At 41.4% G+C, this 21,920-nt stretch overlaps 1 protein-coding gene across 4 annotated transcripts in view, besides 1 other annotated feature; it reads left to right on the top strand.

The window, feature by feature from the left end:
* Nucleotides 1–14,630, top strand: part of KIF13A (kinesin family member 13A) — a 228,510-nt gene extending 213,880 nt beyond the window's left edge. For 2 of the 4 annotated variants that reach the window (NM_001105567.3, NM_001105566.3), the window contains 3 exons: nucleotides 173–278; nucleotides 1,697–1,848; nucleotides 8,810–10,063. In NM_001105567.3, coding sequence (NP_001099037.1) covers nucleotides 173–278; nucleotides 1,697–1,848; nucleotides 8,810–9,646 — 1,095 coding nt within the window. In that variant the 3' untranslated portion in view covers nucleotides 9,647–10,063. Of the gene's footprint in view, nucleotides 1–172; nucleotides 279–1,696; nucleotides 1,849–2,537; nucleotides 2,643–8,809; nucleotides 10,064–12,878 lie in introns of those variants that run through there. The other 2 variants (NM_001105568.4, NM_022113.6) reach the window with 2 other exon arrangements.
* Nucleotides 17,152–17,354: a silencer, noted in NCBI's record as "fragment chr6:17756633-17756835 (GRCh37/hg19 assembly coordinates)". NCBI's record gives its function as "represses an EF-1alpha promoter that drives an FKBP-Casp9 reporter gene in an ReSE screen in HepG2 liver carcinoma cells {active_cell/tissue: HepG2}" and the evidence as "EXISTENCE:reporter gene assay evidence [ECO:0000049][PMID:32094911]".

The following is a 21,920-nucleotide window of genomic DNA, read 5'->3' as shown; positions in this document are numbered from 1 at the left end:
GACAGTATTTTTTACGATATTCAGCCCTTTCTGTATATTTGAAATAAATCATAATAAAAATAAAGAAGAGCATATGCTGCCATTAAAAAAAAACAGAAGAAACTCCAACCTGGGCTTTATTTCTTATTTTGGAGTGATTCAATTACAGTTAACCCATATTTTTACCTTGTAGGGTTGGCCAGAGAACCAGTTGGACATGTCTGACTATAGCTCCAGTTACCAAGATGTAGCATGTTATGGAACTTTACCCAGGGATTCTCCTCGAAGGAATAAAGAAGGTAGTGGTGAGATTATTTTGCAGTGATATTTCTTTGTAATTACTTAGAAAAAGTATGAAAAAATGTCTTTCATTAATGGCATATAATAAGATATGAAGCTGATATTCTAGTTAACTAGATGATACAAAACTGTTATTGAATGTAACATATAACATTCACTTATTTGATTTATTTTTGTTTTGTATCCAACATATCACCCAAATAATCATAGACTTTTTGTGTATTACTTTAGAACTTCTGAATCATTTTTTGTCATCATTTCCTGACTTTCAAGTCCAGTTTTGAGACACATACAAATCCTATTATTTTCTACCAGAATATCCAGCTCTGTCATATTTGTGTACTCAAAGGAATTTTTAAAAGAACATGACTTTGATTCATAAAGCAGTTTTCAAAAACGATACCCAAAATGAGTTTGATTCATGGTGACATTATTACCTAAATTATACAGTCTACCAGTGCCTTAATGGGAACAGTATTCTTTGGCCATATATATCGGTTCTGTTACCTTATACCTTATATTAGTAGGTAAAATATAAGGTATATTCGCCATTATACTAACAAATTGGAAAGGGAGGAAAGAGGCCAAAAAGGTAAGAAATGATACAAGCAAGGAAGAAGAATTGTCCTCCCTTAGTCATATATAGCAGGGTGGCCTGAGGGGGAAAAAAAGAGGCTCGCAAGAAAATTTACACAGTATTAATTCATTGAATATTTATTGAGCCTCTACTTTCTGTCTTATAACTATGGAAATAAGATACACAGAAAATGAGATGTTAAATGATAAGGTGCCAAAATGAACATGCAGATAATAAGGGCTGTGAGAATTCAGAGGAATGGAAAATCAGCGTGAGCTGAAATTGGTCTGGTTAGTGGTGCTTAAGCTGGATCTTGAAAAGAGTGTAGAAATTTGCTATCTCACTTTGTTCACACAGACTAGCACTGTAGTAACTCTTTGTGACATCACAGATTTATGTCTATTCTTGCCTACATCTGTTCCATGGTTTTTTGGGGGTTTTTTTGTTTGTTGTTTGTTGTTTGTGGGGTTTTTTTGTTTTGTTTTTAGACAGGGTCTCCCTCTCTCTCTCTTGCCCGGGCTGGAGTGCAGTGGCACCATTATAACTCACTGCAGCCTCAACCCCTGGGGCTCAAGCGATCTTCTCGCCTCAGCCTCCTGAGTAGCAAGTACAACAAGTAGACACCACCATGCCTGGCTATCTGTTTATTTTTTTTTTCACAGACTGGTGTCCCTATGTTGCACAGGGTGGGCATACATCTGTTTTAATGCTTAGCCAAATATTAGCCTATGAATTTCATTGTTCTCCCAGATATTCCCATGGCTGGGTCATTGTCTCAGTTCCTATGTTTTGCTTAAAGTGTTCAGCATCTGTAACCTCATAACTTCTCATCTTCCCTAGGTTGTACATCAGAGACTCCTCATGCCTTAACCGTCAGCCCTTTTAAAGCATTCTCTCCTCAGCCACCAAAGTTTTTCAAGCCCCTAATGCCTGTAAAAGAGGAGCATAAGAAAAGGATAGCCCTGGAAGCAAGGCCTCTTCTAAGCCAGGAGGTAAATGCTTGACTTGTCTGTACTATGCAGAATAGAGCAGAGTTGTGTCACCTGTGAAGCAGCAGTGTGCATTAACAAGCTGAGTGCTGCATGTGGACATGCACGGTCATCACTCCATGGTTCCCGTTCTCGAATTCCTCTTTCTCAAGCATGCAGAGTCATGGTAGAATCTCTTGTTTGTTGTTGCTGCTGTGGTTTTATTTCTTTGTGTTTATGGCTTTTCAAAGTATTTTTTTATGTTTCAAGTGAGAAAGATGTTTTCTAGGTGTTTTGAAAAGATTAAAGGCCTTTTTTAAAATTATTTTTCTTTTTTGTCTTTTTGGGGATTTCTGATTTTGTTTTTTATAGAGATAGGGTCTTGCTGTGTTGCCCAGGCTGGTCTGAAACTCCTGGCCTCAAGTGATTCTTTTGCCCCAGCCTCCCAAGGCACTGGGATTGCAGGCATGAGCCGTTGTACCTGGTCAAAAGGCTGTTTTTTAAATAAGACTAATTATGCTTTTTGCCACAGAATCTGTTTATTCCTGTCATATCTCTCCAGTAGTTTAACTCTGGCCTGCAGAATTGGCTGCTGCATTACTCACATGTAATAAGAGTGTTAGCATTGCTTTTCTAACTTGCATGTACTTAATATGTATTTTGGCCGTTGTCGTCTTTGTGTGTGATGCATCTGTGTGTCTTAACCTTTGCAGAGCATGCCTCCACCTCAGGCACATAACCCTGGCTGCATTGTACCCTCAGGAAGCAATGGCAGCAGCATGCCAGTAGAACACAATAGCAAACGTGAGAAGAAGATTGTAAGTTCCGGAACCATTTCTGTCATATTGCCTGGTGGTGGGTTTAAGGCCCTTTCACAGACAATCATCCAAATGCTAGAAGAAATTAAGACATGTATTGGGTCTTTGTCTTAAAGAAAATAAAAATGTGACCATTGGTAATGATATTTTGCATGGATGTGGCCATGACCTACAATTTTATCTTATTTATTTATTTATTTTTTGCTTAAGTTTGCTTAGAAAAAGGGAGAAAGGCACTTTTATTGCTTCTGGCCTTTATAAAAAGTGTAACAAAGAGATCTTTTTAATACCAAAATCTTTCTAATGTGCCTATACATATTGCCTAGATTCTGAAGTTAATCTACCTAGAGGAAGTGCACTTACTTGGAGTAAGTAATCATGCATTTAATGCATTTAGCTGTGGATATGTTTGGAAGCTTTTTTATGTTGCCTGATGCTATTGCCAAGATAATTCTGTAGTTAGAGCTGCACTACAATCTATCATAATCACCCTTCATCGTCTCACTGTCTAGGGTAGCCTTTGTTAATTAGCTGGCAAAATATATTCCAATACCTTGGTGCCAGCCTTGCATTCAGGATGGCTTATATATATTTTGCCACAGGTAGGCTGAAACTCTACCCACAAAACCTCATTCCTTAGCACTTGGTTTTAAAATTATTAATTTGAGATACAGTTTTAAAAACACTGCATACCAGGCACCTTAGGTTATAAATTATACCTCAATTTACAAAAAAAAAAAAAAAAAAAAAAATCCTGTTTATTCTCAAGCCTGGAAAGAATTCTCTAAATTTTTGTCTCAGCTTTCACTCTCCTGTGGCTTCCTAGGCTTTGAAAAAGTAAAACCAGCTCAGGGAGACAGGAGACTGCTTGATGTTTATGTTGCATCTCATCGTCTCTATTGGGAAGAGTGTAGGGAGTCTCATTTTCCAGCGACACCATGTCAGACCCATTCCCAATTCCCTCATTAGTGTGGGATCCTTTAACAGTTCCTAACGCACACTGTGTGAGAACTAACTAACTGCAGCTTAATCCAGATATGCAGTTGGCCACCCACCTGCGTGCTTGGGGTGCGGGTGGGTCTTCAGAAACAACCTTCTCATTCCTAATGTGAAGAAAGAAGAAAAGCACCATTTTCCCTCTATTTCTTCATCCCTCTTCCCCTCCTCTGCCTTTGGTTTCTCCTTGTCCCTCTATCCCAAAGCCCTGTCCTAGTTCCTGATGGAGAAGAATCCGCACATTAATAGCTGCTCCTTCATCTCTCCAAATCTTACTGAGCTGTTCTCTCACTTACCTGACCACCCTCTGCTCAATTAATAAGGGCTGCAGTGTGGGCTAAAAAGGCCAAATGACTAGTTTTTTCCCCTGCCAATTCTCTGGCTCTGTGTCTGATTGGATCTGTTTATTGGCATGACACTTATCACTGTGGTGCACAGCCACTCAATTTAAACCTATTGCAACGATACATTTTGGTACAACACCATCAAGACACTGCTGGATGACCCTTCTGGGGTGTTCAGCAGATAGTTTCACAGTTCACAGAGCTAGGCTCGTGTTTTCTTCACTTTCTCTTTAATATTTTAAAATAAAACCCATCTCGGGGCTTTCAGCTAGCAGAGAGAAGGATGGAACCAGATTCTCTTGACCCAGGAAGTCTCAAGCAGCAGTTAGACTCTGTGACTGAATGCACCATGGAGTACAGTAAGAAGGACTTGATGGTGTTATTGTTCTTGCTGGAGTCTTACTTGAAAAAGCTGTCTCTACTCTCCATAGGAAACTGGCTTGCTGAGCACTCTGCACCTAAGAGGCAATTGGGCTCTTTAATTCATTCCAGACAGCAGTTTTTCAAGGTGTTTTGGTAGAGATTAAGTGCATTATTTGTTTGACCTGAGGTTCTTGTTTCTCTTTGGGAAACTTTAATTTTGTTTTTTCTCTTATAAATGGGTACAGACTGTTTTCTTCCTTTGTGACTAATTCACGTTCTTTTCTCTTCCACTCTTGAACAATCAGAGTGACTCAGTTCAGATGATCAAGAGAGTTTGAAATCATTCTTGAGAAGAACAGCATCAAGACATTGTTCCTGTTAATGTTTAACCCACCTAATTACCATAGTAACTTCTGTAATTTCACATAAAATATAGTAAACATGGCTATGCTTGATTCTTTAAGCAATATTTTGTTGTTTGATCAATTTGGGAAGACATACAGATGTACTTCATGTCTCATGACTAAGACAGAAGCAACAATATGCCTTTGGAGTCTGTCTTTTTAAGTCATAAAGCATAGAGAATAGCAGAAAGAAAGTCAGTGATTTTTCCCAGTATCCACACGACCTTTCCGTTAGGTCTTGCATAGACAGCATGTGGTTTATTCCTCTGGTTTACAGAAGAAGAAGCAAAGGGTTAGAATTGTTGAGCAACTTGCTCAAGGTCTCACAGTTAATGATAGCATAAGACCAAAGAGCCCCATTCCTCAGCATAATTAAGGGGACTCCAGTGACTCCAGGTGCTTTCAAATATAGTGCAATTCCAGTATGCCCTGCAGCTGCTCTTCAGATAAAGGGCTCACTCCTCAGTACCATGGACAGAAGTACTGGAGCCCTTGGCTGGTGCAGTTCTGCAAACAGAGATCTCTGGTGAACAGCACGACATGATTATAATAGGAGTGGAAATTGCATTAATGAAGGAAACTCCTTACAAAGAGTCACTGCTTTAATGTGGATTTCAGTCCCTTTTTAAAATCAAGGTGTTTTCTGTATAGGTAAATATCAGCTGCATAAGTTAAATTTGCAAAACTCAGATGAAGACTGTAGCTATAGAGAAGCTTGAGAACTTGACTCCATGTGCCACTTCAGATAGGGTTTTAATTATCTTTTTCCTTAAGACATTGTAGGAAGGTGCTTAGTTTATTCTTCTTTAAGCTATGATGAGAAATGAGATTTCTGGTATAAAAAATCTAAACCAAACTCCCTCAAAAATATGAGTTTAAGCCAATTAAATCCTCCCTTAATTGGCAATAACTCAATAAACATTCAATCTCCTTTTAAGTATTGGAAAATGTTTAATCTCTACTAAGTTTTCCTTTTTCTGGAATAAGCTGTCCCTACTGTTTTAGTCTTTCCCTCTGGGCTTTTGGGTTATTTTCCCCACTGTGAACTGCTCCCTATTTGAACTTAATCTCTTGGGGCTTTGTAGATTCTTAGTTTTATTAATGTCATTCTAATCCTTGAGGAATAATTTATTATCTTTGATAAATTTACAACTATTTCTACTCAGTGAATTCATGATTACATATTTCATTCAGCAAAATTGTATTTTAGGATAACAGGCCTTTCCTTGGTCTCGAGAAGAAATAACTTCAAGCATATAAAGGACTCCAAATTACTAATTCTCATTTTTAAATTTGATTTTCCTTGAAGTAAATAACTTTTCAGTACTTAATTATAGTAAATAGTAATTTAGTAATTAATTGCATCAGGTATGCTTGGACTTGGAGAATTGTGTTTGCCAACTTAAATCAAAAGGAAATAGAAGAGATACAAACACTTGAAATTTAATTTTGTGCCGGGCATGGTGGCTCACACCTGTAATCCCAGCACTTTAGAAGCCCGAGACGGGCAGATCGCCTGAGGTCAGGAGTTCGAGACCAGCCTGGCCAACATGGTGAAATCCTGTCTCTACTAAAAATACAAAAATTAGCCGGGCATGGTGGCGGACACCTGTAATCCCAGCTACTTGGGAGGCTGAAGCAGGAGAATCACTTGAACTCGGGAGGCAGAGGTTGCAGTGATCCAAGATCGCGCCATTGCACTCCAGCCTGGACGACAAGAGTGAGACTTCGTCTCAAAAAAAAAAAAAAAATTAATTTTGAGTCTAAACATGACAAGTAGAGAATCTAGAAAATATAGGCAAAGGCTACTGGTTCAGACAATTCTGTTCAATCTTTGTTCCTTCTCCAACATTCTGCCCAACCCTGGGAAAGAATGCTCCACCCCACTTTTTTGATAATGCTACTTAATTTAGAATGCAGATAAAGATGAGAAGAGATTAGTGTTGCCAAAAATTTTGTTTTGCCAATTTCAGGAACTTTATCACTGATATTTGATATTCACCTTTGATTAACAGCTAAAGAATTAGGATCACCAATTCCTTTACACATTTATTTTCAGTCACATTTTTACAACTAAGTTATAAAAACTAAATTATTTTAAAAGCTGAGAAGCATTTAAGAGAGTATTAAACTTTTTTTGAGGTATATAGAATCTTGAGATGCAAAAGAAAATATTACTATTAATCTAAACAGATGAAATTTATGTTCATTTGTGAACAAGTATTTGCCATGCCTTGAAGATAAATCCCCCCTCCCCACCTCGATTAAAAAGCAAATTTATGTTATGGGCCAGGTACAGTGATTCACACTTGTAATCCCAGCTACTCAGGAGGCAGAGATTGGAGGATTGCTTGAGCCCAGGAGTTTGAGGCTGCAGTGAGCTACAGTTGCATCACTGCACACCAACCTGAGTGACAGAGCAGGACCCCTGTCTGTAAAAAAATAAATAAATAAAAATAAATAAATCCTAGCCGGGCACGGTGTCTCATGCCTGTAATCGCAGCACTTTGGGAGGCTGAGACGGGCAGATCACCTGAGGTCGGCAGTTTGAGACAAGCCTGACCAACATGGAGAAACCCTGTCTCTATAAAAATACAAAATTAGCCTGGCATGCTGGCGCATGCCTGTAATCCCAGCTACTCGGGAGGCTGACGCAGGAGAATTGCTTGAACCTGGGAGATGGAGGTTGCGGTGAGCCGAGATCACACCATTGCACTCCAGCCTGGGCAACAAGAGTGAAACTCCATCTCAAAATAAATAAATAAATAAATAAATAAATAAATAAATCTTAAAAATAAAATAAGTAAATTAATAAAATGCAAACTTAATGAGTAAGGCTGATGCTTCGGTTCCAGGTCTTTACATGCACCTAGTAGTTCTAATTGTACAGATGCTTTAAACCAGATGACCAATGAAAGAAAGCTAACTGTTTTTGAGGTGTCTAAGTTTACCTGTGAATGAAATTCTTATCCATCCATGCAGCATCCAGGATTGTTCTAAGAGCAAGGACGCAAAGTTGTAATTCTCTGAGGGAGGGACCATGCCTTCTTGTGCTCACCATTGCTATTTCCAAGTCCTTAGGACAATGGCTGCCATGTAGTGGATGTTCAGTGTGTATTTGTTGAATGAAAGACATATTTTAAAAGGAATATTTGCGATTTCATTAGGTGCTTCTGAGATTAATTAGAAATGGCTAGAGAGTTTATCACTTATTTTATTTGGACTTAAAATACCCACATTTTTTCTACCAAATATAAAAGAATCATTCATTTGGAGAGAGACTGGGGAGTTGGTGACACCCACTTTTGCATGTATTTACCAATTTTTGTGAACAGGGGCTTGAAAACTGTTTTACAAAGGAGATTTTCATTTAAATTTCACTATGCCTTCTTCACCTTCTAGCCAAACCCTCTACTCATACTTCTCAAAAATCCTAGAAGACCGTAATTGTCAGATTGTTAGTATTTTATAGCCTTACGATATGTAGCATAATATAAGAATGAGTGTTGAAATTGTGTTTTTTGCCCTTTTGCAGTTGGGTTCTTTGTTTTACTCTCTTCTCCCCCATAAAATAGCTGAGAAACTTTTTAAAAATTACCTTAACTGCCTGCACTTTGCTTCCCAAGGTGAAGATTCTAAAGACAAAAGGAGTGGCTCTTCTCTGCTTCTGCCTGTTTCTCTGCTCATTTAATGAGAAAAGAGAAAACATCACAACTAAAAGCTAATTTTGAATAACTAACAAAATGTCCACTGCACTTCAGTTCCATTCTTTCTCTTAAACCAGGGAAGGAATGATTTCTAATTAGCACTGAGTGAGCCTAAAAGAACTAAATCCCCTTCATATTAGATGATAAGGGGTTTATATTCACAGGTCTCTGAGAATACTGATACACCTATATCTACAATAGGTGACAAGATCTGGCCAAATTTGGAAAGACAAAAAGAAAACACTGAACACCATGTGAATGTGAATGCCTTTAACAGCCAAGTATTTAAAACTTGTCTCAACAGTACAGTTGCTACAAGGAGCTAATGACTGACTTTTGCTTCACTTCTATAGGACTCTGAGGAGGAAGAAAATGAGCTGGAAGCTATTAACAGGAAGCTAATAAGTTCACAGCCTTATGTACCTGTGGAGTTTGCTGACTTCAGTGTTTACAATGCCAGCTTGGAGAACAGGGAATGGTTTTCCTCTAAAGTAGATCTGTCAAACTCACGGGTCTTGGAGAAAGAAGTGTCCCGTAGCCCTACCACCAGCAGTATTACCAGTGGCTACTTTTCCCACAGTGCCTCCAATGCCACCCTGTCTGACATGGTGGTCCCTTCTAGTGACAGCTCAGACCAGCTGGCCATTCAGACGAAGGATGCAGACTCCACCGAGCACTCCACACCATCGCTTGTGCATGATTTCAGGCCGTCCTCAAACAAAGAGTTGACAGAAGTCGAAAAAGGCTTGGTAAAGGACAAGATAATTGTGGTGCCACTCAAGGAAAACAGTGCCTTAGCCAAAGGGAGCCCATCATCCCAGAGCATCCCTGAGAAAAACTCCAAATCACTGTGCAGGACTGGCTCATGTTCAGAACTAGATGCCTGCCCCAGCAAAATTAGCCAGCCAGCCAGGGGATTCTGCCCCAGGGAGGTGACGGTAGAACACACCACCAACATCCTTGAAGACCATTCTTTCACAGAATTTATGGGAGTGTCAGAGGGAAAAGATTTTGATGGTTTGACAGATTCTTCTGCTGGAGAGCTTTCCAGTAGGAGGAGTCTACCAAATAAAACAGGCGGCAAGACTGTCTCCGATGGGCTCCACCACCCCAGCCAGCTGCATTCCAAGTTAGAGAATGACCAGGTAATAATTCCAGAGGCAGCCTTTTGGGTTCTGTGCTGTCAATGAGTATGTCTAACTGTATGTCAACCCCAGAGGCCCTTCACCGCAACAACTTGGTAGGAAAGATTCATCCAGTTGTTTGTGACAGCAAAGATGAGCCCACAGAGAAGCAGGCTCACTTCCTGCACAGCTGTCTCTGTCGGAGAGCAAGTCTGTTTTGGGAACTAGAACGCAATTGTGAAATTATAAGACCAGTGGATTTTTTTACCTGGCACATGGGTTGGTGTTGAATGAAGTGTTCAGATGGATAAGGATCAATCTCATATTCATTCCCTGGGATGTTTAGTTACCAGTTTTCCCAAAGTGTTCTGGTAGCATCTACCATATTTCATCAAATCTGTGATTCCTTTGATTATTATATGAACCATTATTTTATGTATCATTAAGAAAAAATACTGCCAATTAAACTCTGTCATATCAACAGTTGTAAGACACCCCAATTTCAGAGATGGTAAAGTGTGGAGAGAAAAACATATATATCATAGAATTGGAAATAGACAGTCGTTTGGTGCCCGTAGGTGAAAAAGTGCTTTGGGGCGGTATAGGCAAATTCCAGCAGCAGTTGAAGTTTGGACTTTGGAAGTAACTCAGTTTATAATACTGGTTAATTTTCTTTTTTCTTTTTTTTTTTTTTTTTTTTGAGATGGAGTGTGGCTCTCACTCTGTCACCCAGGCTGCAGTGCAGTGACACGATCTTGGCTCATTGCAGCCTCCACCTCCCTGGCTCACGTGATCCTCCTGCCTCAGCCTCCCGTGTAGCTGGGACTACAGGCACGTGCCAGCACATCTGGCTAATTTTTTTATATTTTCACCATGTTGGCCAGGCTGGTCTCAAACTTCTGACCTCAGGTGATCCATCCCCCTTGGCCTCCCAAAGTGTTGGGATTATAGGCATGAGCCACTGTGCCTGACTAATATTGGTTAATTTTCATACGGGAACAAAATGAGTTTTTGCCACTATTACTAAGGAAAATCACAAATTACATAAATAAGAGATGTTCTGCTTCTGAGCATTCTGCTCTGAAGTACCACCATTTATTCCCATTCACATTCATTTGTTTGGTCCCCCAACTTGCTGTAAAAGGCATGGGAGAGTCATGGCTTAGCAAAATAAAGAACTGACAGAGCTAGAAAGAGGCTTGGTAAAAGTAAAATAATCATGCTGCTACTCTATCCCTTTGTTTTGCGAGCAAGTTACTCCATTGATGTGGCTTTTGCCCCTGCTTTTCATAACAGCCCTTAAAATTTCAATGTATGGTCATTTATACAGCATACTCATTACTGAACTGCCAAAACCTAAACAGTCATCTCTGACAAGAAAAAGACTTCCTTCCCCGACATAAGAATAATGATAGAGTCACTCACCACCATTCTTGCAAGCAATACATGCATTTGTTTAGGTCTTCAACTTTCTTTACCTGGATTAAAGCAGAAGCTACACAGCTGGTATACATCAGCTTTTCAACCCTTGTTCGTCAAGAAGGCCAGTGTCAAAGACTCTTTAATTCTTTACTGTAAGATTAGGTTTGCTTCTCAAACCTAAAGGTGCTACAAACTCTAGGGGCAAGGAGGGTGTGGCAGGCCTCTTAAAAATTCATATTCATGGCCGAGTATGGTGGCTCATGCCTGTAATCCCAGCATTTTGGAAGGCCGAGGCAGGTGGATTGCCAGATGTCAGGAGTTCGAGACCAGCCTGGCTAAATGGTGAAACCCCATCTCTACTAAAAATACAAAAATTAGCCGGATATGGTGGCACATGCTTGTAGTCCCAGCTACTCGGGAGGCTGAGGCAGGAGAATCACCTGAACCCAGGAGGCGGAGGTTGCAGTGAGCCAAGATCGCACCACTGCACTCCAGCCTGGGCAACAGAGCAAGACTCCGTCTCAAAAAAAAAAAAAAAAATTCAAATTCACCTGGGCTTAGTGGCTTGCACCTGTAGTTCCAGCTATTCTGGAGGCTGAGGCGGGAAGATCACTTGAGCCCAAGAGCTCAAGACCAGTCTGGACAACAGAGCAAGATCCTATCTCTGTTTAAATAATTTTAAAAATTAAAATTTTTAAAAAATTCAAATTCCCAGGAGTCACTGCCATCCAGCCCTAAGATTTTGCTTTATACAGTGTGCAGCAGGGGAAATAAGGTATTCACAAACCCTTCCTTCCTCCCCATCCCCTCGCATCCCCATAGAGTAATAGGAGACAGGTTATCTGAGGGCCATACTGTGGGAAGCACTGCCCATAGAAGAGGGAAGAGGAGCAACAACCCCCTTCTTTTTTCATTGCCTAGATTATTTAGAACCCAACAGGAAAAGGTAAGGATTGGAAAGTTTCCAGAATAGTACGTTCCTCCCAAAGATCATGGTTTAAAGTGAAATTTACAAACATGTTATATCAAGATGATGGGATTATGGAGATTTTTCTCCTTTAAAGAGTTTTTAGCGGAGCGCAGTGGCTCACACCTGTAATCCCAACACTTTGGGAGGCTGAGGCGGGCGGATCACCTGAGGTCACAAGTTTGAGACCAGCCTGACCAACATGGAGAAACCCTGTCTCTACTGAAAACACAAAATTAGCCGGCAGTGGTGGCACATGACTATAATCCCAGCTACTCGGGAGGCTGAGGCAGGAGAATCGCTGGAACCCGGGAGGTGAAAGTTGCAGTGAGCTGAGATTGTGCCATTGCATTCCAGCCTGGGCAACAGGAGCTAAACTCTTGTCTCAAAAAAAAAAAATTTTGGCGGCCAGGCATAGTGGCTCACGCCCGTAGTCCTAGCACTTTGGGGAGACCAGAGCAGGAAGATCGCATGAACCCAGGAGTTTGACACCATCGTGGGCAACATAACGAGACTCTGTCTCTACAAAAATTTAAATGTTTTTTTATTTAATGTATCTGCTACATTGGTTTTAATAAGTTGTTTTGACAGTTTAAAATTTTTTCTGAGAACCATAAGTTTGACTTTGTTCAAACCCCTGAAATGACTTAGACTGCACATCCAGAAGTCACTTTTTTTCCTTAATTTTTACTTTGGTTGTTGCTGTCATTACTTTTCCTTGAAACATCACCTCAGGGCTTTTACAATGTGGATTCCAGCACTGGATTCCATAATAAAACCAATCCTGTGGGTCCCTTCAGGAAGAGCCCCTTTCTTGTGATGGGTGTGGACTGGGCTGAGAGTAGGTGCTGTGGGTGGGGTGGGGAGGTGGGGATGAGAAGCATGAACTCACCAGCCTCTGCATTCCAGGGAGGCACAACCTCACGGTGAGAGCAGCAAGCACCCCTCCTCAGGCCACAGCTTGGCGTCTTTGTTCGCCTGGTCACCTTGGGCAAGCACCAGCCCCATCTCTAAAACATGCTGCCGCCTGGCTGGACCTCAGACCAGAAGCTGGAGAATCCACACCGTGCACTTCCTGGGCCACCTCCTTTCCCCTCCCCAGTGGGAGAAGCGGCACTTTGTCACTTGGGTGAATCAACAGCCTCTGCTTTTTCCAGAAAGCAAGAGAACTGAAAATCCTGGATTAACTAAGTGACAGTATTTTTTTTTGCACTTACTACACACCTCCACTGTATAGAAACCTCTACAGATTCCAACAGACTTTATTCTTGTACAATTTTAATCAGTTCTTACTGTAGAATCTGGAGTCAATGCTCTAATCTGTTTTTTATAAATAATATATATTATGTATATGAAATGTGTATCTATAGTATGTCTGGAGACAGACAAGGCTGCACACTAAAATGCAGATAAAGGTGATTTGTAGAAAATCATAAGGTACTGGACTTCGTTACAAAGCAACTTGGGCGATCTCTTATACATGAGCAGATGAAAAATATTTTATTGCCTAAGAATGAGCTTGCAAATCCCTCTTTGCAGAAAAGGTTATAGAATGCTGTTCTTTATAACCAAAGAACTTACATAAGACAACATTTTTGCTGTCCACTCTTTTGTGTGAACATGTATGTTTGACTGCAAGTTTGGTGCCATAATTCCCTTGGCTACCAAGCCACGTGCTGCCATTCTCTGTCCTTTGTTTCATAAGCACACTGAGAAATCTCACAGCTATATTCTTTGGTCTTCCACCTGCCCCTCCACCTGCTGACTTGACATTGTATTATAACTGTTGACAATGACTGGGGTCCTGACTCCACAGTTGCCTGGACCGTGGCTCAGCCCAGCTGGGCAGGTGGAATGAAGAGAGCCGTATTACTGTAAGAAAACACAAGGACAGCCAGGAGTAGTGGTGGGGTGGGTGGGGTGGGAGGTGTTGATTTTTGTGTGTTTCTGTGTGTGTGGTTTTGTTTTGGATTGGTAGGTTTCACTGTGGCGTGGTTTTGCTGTTGTTATTTTGCTTGATTCTGGAAAATGCTGAGGAGATGGACTGAGCTATGAAGTTCAATGGTTCACCCTTTACCATGTTTGCAGGAGATGATCGAATACAGATGACCCTGCTGTCGTGTCTTCATTTGTAAAATTCTCCTACAAATGGAGACATTGAAGGATTATGTGTATGGAAATTTTTACAAAATTCCTTTCTGTACCTATTCTGTAGATGCCTGTATAATCGGTCTGGATGTACAGCTATAAATGTGTTGTGAGAGCAAGAGAGAGAGAATGGGTAGAGCCTGCTGTACCTTTTTTCTTTTAAATTCTTCGAGTTGGTAAATGAGTAAGATATTGGAAACCTTAATGAAAAGCTGCTGTTCATGATTTGTGTGTATAGTGAGCTGACTGTAGTATTTTACTATTGTCTGTTAAAAAAAGAAAAACTGTAATTTATATCCCCTTTGAACTTTATTGTGTTTAATTGGTACACATTTCTGTGTGTGTGTGTGTGTATGTGTTTTAGAATACAAACTGTGTAATTCAGATTTTAAAACACTAATCATTTGTCTTTAATAACCCTGCCTTTAGTTTCAAATCTAACTTACCATATTTCTATGTGTGCATGTCTCTGCAGTGTTAAAAATAATAATATCAGCATTTATTAGGGGTCAACTGTGTATTAGGCACTGTTCTAAACATTTGATATTCATTATCTCATTTAATCCTCACAGCAACAGACCCATAGGTACTGTGGTCATTAAGTGTTTGACAAGTAGAAAACTGAGGCAGAGAAGTTACTGATGGAGCTGTAGCAAAGCCAGGATGCAGGCCACACTTCGCTTGTCAGTCTCTGTGTTCAGCCTGGTGACATGTCATGGACAGACAGGCCTTTTGAAAACTAGGCACCTTCAGAGGACAGAAGGGTGTGGTGAGTGTCACAAGTTCCAGACAGACCAATCCCATCGTGGTGGAGGGGGGCTATCTGGAGCAGGTAGGACATGGTGTGTTATACCTGTTCACGATGCTTAAATCTTTACAGCAAGCAGCAGTACCCTGCCACCTGTGAAATAGTGGCTAAAAGTAGCTTATTATAAAAATCTTATTTAAAAACAATTATTACAGCATCTTTTCAGAAAAATCTCAGCTGTTCACAATACCCTTTCTGAAGTTACAAAGAATTAGATCTAGCCTGTTCTGGACAGAAGGGTGCCCTGTATAGAGTTCCATGGGAAAGGAGAGAAGGGACCCAAAAAAATCCCAAAACTTATTTGAATTTTAGAGAATGGGTTTGGGAAGTGGAAAGCAGCTATTTAATATTTAAATAAAAGATGACAACTAAACGTATAGTTCAAGAGAAAATGAACAAATCATCATTCCTCTTGCTAGTATGAGACCAGTGGTATTCAGGTCAGTGACATTGTCATCTGTCATTATGACTAAGAACAAACTGGGTTTAGTTCATATTTTATTGGAGAGTTAGAGGCATGTGTTTAACAGTTATTTCCAAGATACAGTAGTGCCAGTGTCAGCACATTTGTTGATAGTTTTTGGACACACATTTTATCATAACAAAAATATAACCTTGTGTTTCTATGGCACCGACTTATGGGGAGAATAGCTGTTTATAAAAATACCTTTGGGGCTACGGCTCGAACTGCGTCCGCTAGCACAGGAGTGGGAGTCATGGGGACCAGCTGCAGCATTCTCATTGTGTCCTCCTGGGGAGAGGAAAGGGTCATTTGGAGCTGCCAGTTTCCCTTCCTGGGGGCCTTTGGGGGTTTGGTGAGAACTGGAAAGAATTTGCTCAAAGGGAAACCAGAAAAGAAGCAGCTCCTGGCTGGGCGACGTGGCTCACGCCTGTAATCCCAGCACTTTGGGAGGCCGAGGTGGGCGGATCACGAGGTCAGGAGATCGAGACCATCCTGGCTAACACGGTGAAACCGCGTCTCTACTAAAAATACAAAAAAATTAGCCGGGCTTGATGGCGGCGCCTGTAGTCCCAGCTACTCGGGAGGCTGAGGCAGGAGAATCGCGTGAACCCAGGAGGTGGAGCTTGCAGTGAGCCGAGATCACGCCACTGCACTCCAGTCTGGGCGACAGAGCAAGACTCCATCTCAAAAAAAAAAAAAAAAAAAAAAAAAGCAGCTCCTTACCTAAAAAGTTCATTTTGCCTCGGTTGTGAGTTCTTTCATTAAGAATAGATAAATTCTGGCCGGGCGCAGTGACTCACGTCTGTAATCCCAGCGCTTTGGGAGGCCAAGGCAGGTGGATCACCTGAGGTCAGGAGTTCGGGACCAGCCTGGCCAACATGGTGAAATCCCATCTCTGCTAAAAATACAAAACTTACCCGGGCATGGTGGTGCACGCCTATAGTCCCAGCTGCTCAGGAGGCTGAGGCAGGAGAATCATTCAAACCCGGGAGGTGGAGGTTGCAGTGAGCCGAGATCACGCCACTGCACTCCAGCCTGGGCAACAGAGTGAGACTCTATCTCAAAAAAAAAAAAAAAAAAAAAAAAAAAATATATATATATATATATAATTTCCATTATGCCACATGATTCAAAACCAAAGAATGTAGAGCCTGAAAAAAACCAACAGTTGGGAGTAGCTTCCTTGGGAATAATGCCGTCTGCTAGACCAGCTTTTCTAGGCACTACGTTCCTTTTTTTTTTTTTTTTTTTTTTTTTTTGGAGACAAAGTCTTACTCTCGTGTAGGCTGGAGTGCAGCAGCGCAATCTCAGCCTCACTGCAACTTCTGCCCCCAGGGTTCAAGCAATTCTCCTGCCTCAGCCTCCCTAGTAGCTGGGATTACAGGTGCCCGCCACCACACCCAGCTAATTTTTGTATTTTCAGTAGAGACAGGGTTTCACCATGTTGGCCAGGCTGGTCTCGATCTCCTGACCTCAGGTGATCCACCCACCTTGGCCTCCCAAAGTGCTGGGATTACAGGCATGAGCCACCACGCCTGGCCGACACTACGTTCTTTAAGGAACAAGGCTACGATCCATTTAAAGAAGATTTGTAACATCTAATAGGATACAAAGGAAATCATCGCTAGGTGACCATGAAGATTCTTTTTTTTTTTTTTGAGGCGGAGTCTCACTCTGTCGCCCAGGCTGGAGTGCAGTGGCCGGTCTCGGCTCACTGCAAGCTCTGCCTCCCGGGTTCAAGCCATTCTCCTGCCTCAGCCTCCTGAGTAGCTGGGACTACAGGCGCCCACCACCATGCCCAGCTAATTTTTGTATTTTTTAGTAGAGACAAGGTTTCACCGTGTCAGCCAGGATGGTCTCGATCTCCTGACCTTGTGATCTGCCCGCCTTGGCCTCCCAAAGTGCTGGGATTACAGGCGTGAGCCACTGCGCCCGGCCTGAAGATTCTTTGATTTTTTTTTAAAAAAGGCAAAAATAAGGTCTGGTTAGAGAATGAAAAATATCTACATCTCAGAACAACTCTATTTAATCTAAAAAGCTCCCTACAATTGCCAGCCTATTTGCAGTCTCTTAATATGCCCACTACCCTTTCAGCCAGTACATGAGAAAATATTTTTGGTCCCACAGGATATAGAAGATAAGATTTTTTTAATTTTTTTTTGGAATCTGTCACTGAATTATATTTCAGATGCAGACACTGTGGTATTTCCGTGTTTGTGATATTTACTGTGCAGTTTGTCGTTAACAACTTGCATGGAGTAGGGCGCCATAGAATTTGCCTTAGTGTTTCAGTTCAAATAGAGATCCTAATTCAAATGTCATAACTCAAATTCAAACACAGTATGCTTGTTGTAGAATTTATCAGGTTTGCTGATGATTCCTTTTTTATTAAAATTTTTGCGGGGATAATATATTGTAACAGTCTTTGCAGCTACAGAGAACAGGACAGGCCATCAGGGTATATTTCCCAAGTATCTGACCGAAAACCTAAGCAAGAGAAGTGAGACAAACCATCTAATCTGTATCCTCCCACTAACAGGCTGCGTCATTTTGGATTTCCGAGGTCCGTGTCCTTCTAAATAAAATGAGGAGATGAGACAAGAGCAGCGGTTCTCAAAGTGTAGTTGGAGAGGGGGCGGTCCTCAGACTTTCAATGATAGCCAAGGTCAAAGCTCTTTTTATAATACTAATACATCATTTGTCTTTTTCACTCTATTTCTTTCATGAGTATGGACAGGAGTTTTCCAGAGGCTACCTCACGTGTGATATTTTAACAGACTAAATGCACAGCAGCTTTGGGAATCCAGCTTTCATCTATTAAGTCAGACATTAGATTTACAAAAATGTAAAATAATGCCACTCTTCTCACTAAAAAAAATAAAAAATAAAAAGCCTGTAGGGTTAAGTAAGGACAAGATACTATCTTCTACTAAATTATGCTGCCCCAGCCAATAATTATTTTTTAAATTACAATATTTTAAAAGCTTTAGAATAATGTTGAAAAAAAGACAGCTAATTACATGATTATGCCTTATTTTAAAAGTAACGCTTTCTGGTCATGTAATTAAAAAGTATTGAAAGAAAATGTAATTGAGGCTGGGCTCAGTGGCTCATGCCTATAATCCCAGCATTTTGGGAGGCCCAGGCAGGCAAATCACCTGAGGTCAGGAGTTCGAGACCAGCCTGACCAACATAGTGAAACCCCATCTCTACTAAAGATACAACAATTAGCTGGGCATGGTGACACAGCCCTGTAATCCCAACTATTCAGGAGGCTGAGGCAGGAGAATTGCTTGAACCCAGGAGGCAGAGGTTGCAGTGAGCTGAGATTGCGCCATTGCACTCCAGCCTGGGTGACAGAGTGAGACTACGTCTCAAAAAATAAACAATAAAAGTATAAAAAATTAGCTGGGCATGGTCGTGGGCGCCTGTAATCCCAGCTGCTCGGGAGGCTGAGGCAGGAGAATCACTTGAACCCAGGAGCTGGAGGTTGCAGTGAGCTGAGACCACACCATTGCACTCCAGCCTGGGTGACGAAGCAAGACTTCATCTCAAAAAAAAAAAAAAAAAAAAATGTAATTGAGTAAGAGTTCTTGCTCTCCTTTTCTTCTCCAAGGGCTAAAAAGAAAAAGTATGCGTGTTTGTGTGTATGCATAAAATAAAAAAAAATATGTAAAGATGTCAGCCAGAGTTACAGTTATCAGTTACCTGAAGGCTCAACTGAGACTGGGAGAATCCACTTTTAGAGTGGATCTACTTCCTCGCTCTGTAGACCCCCTCCATAGTGCTTGAATGTCCCCACAATGTGGCAGTTGGCATCCCCAGAGCAAGTGGTCCAAGACAGCAAACAGAAGCCACAGTGCCTCTTTTATGACCTGGTCTCAAGTCACACTTCACTTCCACCATAATCCGTTCATCAGCAGTGAGGTACTAAGTCCAGCCCCCACTGAAAGGGAGGGGAACTAGGCTCTTCATTTTGTGAAGAAGACTGTCAAAGGATTTGTAGACATATTTTAAAACCACCATAACTATTACGAAGTTATATACCTGAAGCCATGGGGCAAAGCAAAGCTAACTGAAACCTCTGAGTGAATTGGGAATCCAACTCCTTTATTCATAAAGAGCAGAGTCAAAAGGAAAGGCACATCCCATGGAAGACAAAGGAGATATTAATAAAGAAAAAAGTCAAAATACTAGGATTATCTGAATGTGTGACTTATAGTCAGTAATCAAACTGTACTGATATTCCTGGTGGAGGCAAATGCACTCCGTTGCTCAGGCTGAAGTGCAGTGGTGTGATCAGTCTCACTGCAGCCTCAGCCTCCTGGGTTCAAGTGATCCTCCTGCCTCAGCCTCTTTAGCAGCTAGAACCACAGGCGCAGGCCACCACAACCAGCTAATTTTCTCATTTTTTGTAAAGACGTAGTCTTGCCATCTCAGGACCTCTTGAGCTCTCAGGAGTCTCTGACGTTGAATTCCTGAGCTCAAAGAGATCCTCCCGCCCTGGCTTCCCAAAATGCTAGGATTACAGGCATGAGCCACCACATCTGGCCTGCCTCTATTTTTTGTTGGATTTTTCTCATTTGATTCTCTGCGGATCTGCTTCATTAGAGACACAAGCATACCAATATATTTTATGGCTTTGGTCAAAATAGGAAATTCAGACACATCTTTACTTATTAAGGCACAAGATATTAACAATTAGATTTAGGAATAAAACTGTCAACAAAAGGAGTTTATGAAGATAGGCTTTTTTGCTGAAGATACTGAAAGATCGGATTGTTTATTATTAAGATGTGTTACACATCCAAATGTTTCAGAATAAGCAAGGGTTCAAGGCTCTTGAAGCTTGTAAAATGAAATTTTAAATCTAAAGCTGGCTAACTGGAAAAAGAAACGTAAAGGGATTTACGAAGCTTAAAAGTTTTCTGTAAAAAATAAATTTAAAAAATTTAATGAAACTTAGAAGTTTTCTCTTAAAAAATAAAAAGGATTTAAAAGAGAAGAGTTTGAAAAGGAAAACAAGCTAACAAAAAATAAAATGTAAAAATACACGAATTATCAAAAACTGGTATAGATATGTAGAAAAGGATTCCTGATCAGTTTCTTCCTGTTTAGGCTCTTGCAGGTAAATATTCAATATAAACTCAGCCTCAGAGCTTCTTTTCCCCTCTTGAAGTCTGTCCCCTGAGCCCCATGCTTCTAAGGATGGGTCTGGAAGGTTCCTTTTGTTATCCTGTTGGCCAGGGTAGCACCTGTAGTCTGTCGTCTTCTGCTAGTTTCTGCTGACCCTGGTTGAGGAGAAGTTTTCTCATAGAATTTTTGGTCATAGACTTCTGTCCTGGCCTCACTCACCACTGATGTCAATAATGGTCTGTCCTCCAGGAAACTTTCTGCAGGACAATTGCCTGGCAAACTCTGCTTATAGCTTTTCCCACTTGCCTTGCACTGGTACTTATGAGGCTCAGCTGCCCTTGCCCCTGGCTCCAGCTCTGGGCTGTCCAGCACACAGCCCCTGCCATGGCACCCCTGTACCGTGCCTATGCTGTCGTGAACCTGGACAGTCACAGTGACTCTTAATTTTCAGCTTTCTTGGCCAGGCACGGTGGCTCGTGCCTGTTACCCCAGCATTTGGGAGGCCGAGGTAGGTGGATCACCTGAGGTCAGGAGTTCAAGACCAGCCTGGCCAACATGATGGAACCCCGTCTCCACTAAAAATACAAAAAAAATTAGCCAGGTGTGATGGTAGGCACCTGTAATTCCAGCTACTCGGGAGGCTGAGGCAGGAGAATGACTTGAACCCGGGAGGCGGAGGTTGCAGTGAGCCAAGATCGCGCTATTGTACTCCAGCCTGAGTGACAAGACCAAGACTCCATCTCAAAAAAATTTCACCTTTCTTCTTGCATTACTCATGGGTCTTTCAGGAACTCATCCATGCCTCAAAGAGGACCAACTGAATGTTTTCTGGAGCCTATCTATTCCTTCCATTCTGTCAAAACAAGACTGGAAGGGTGCCAATAGGAAGAAGCAAAGCACCAGCCTATGCTGTCTCAATTTCTCTCTCAAACTATCTGAGCCTCAAAAAGTGTTGCTCATATCTAACTCCTCACCTCAGCCCAAGGTGTAGAGCACTGGGTCTCCTCTTATGGACTAAGATACATCCTTACCCCAGTCTCAACCTCCTGATTCTCTCTGCCCCATTTTTCTCTTCCCCCTCCCTAATTTCTCCTTTCTCCTTCCTTTCTTGTCTCAGAGGAACTACCCTTAGGTCACAGAGCCATACTCTCTACACTCTGGCTTATAACAAAATACTGACTTCCAAGCTTTTTTTTTTTTTTTTTCTTTTCTTTTCTTTTTGTCGTAATAGAGATAAGGCCTCGCTATGTTCCTCAGGCTAGTCTTGAACTCCTGGGCTCAAGCAGTATTCCTGCCACAACCTCATAAAGTGCTGGGATCACAGGTGTCACGATGCCCAGCCCTGATTTTTTTTTTTTTTTTCTAAGAGATGGAGTCTCAAGCCAGGCACAGTGAC

The sequence above is a fragment of the Homo sapiens genome, chromosome 6 (genome assembly GCF_000001405.40).
Source record: "Homo sapiens chromosome 6, GRCh38.p14 Primary Assembly".
NCBI lineage: Eukaryota > Metazoa > Chordata > Mammalia > Primates > Hominidae > Homo > Homo sapiens.
Note: the sequence above shows the minus strand (reverse complement) of the source record. Positions and strands in the feature narration are given on the sequence as shown.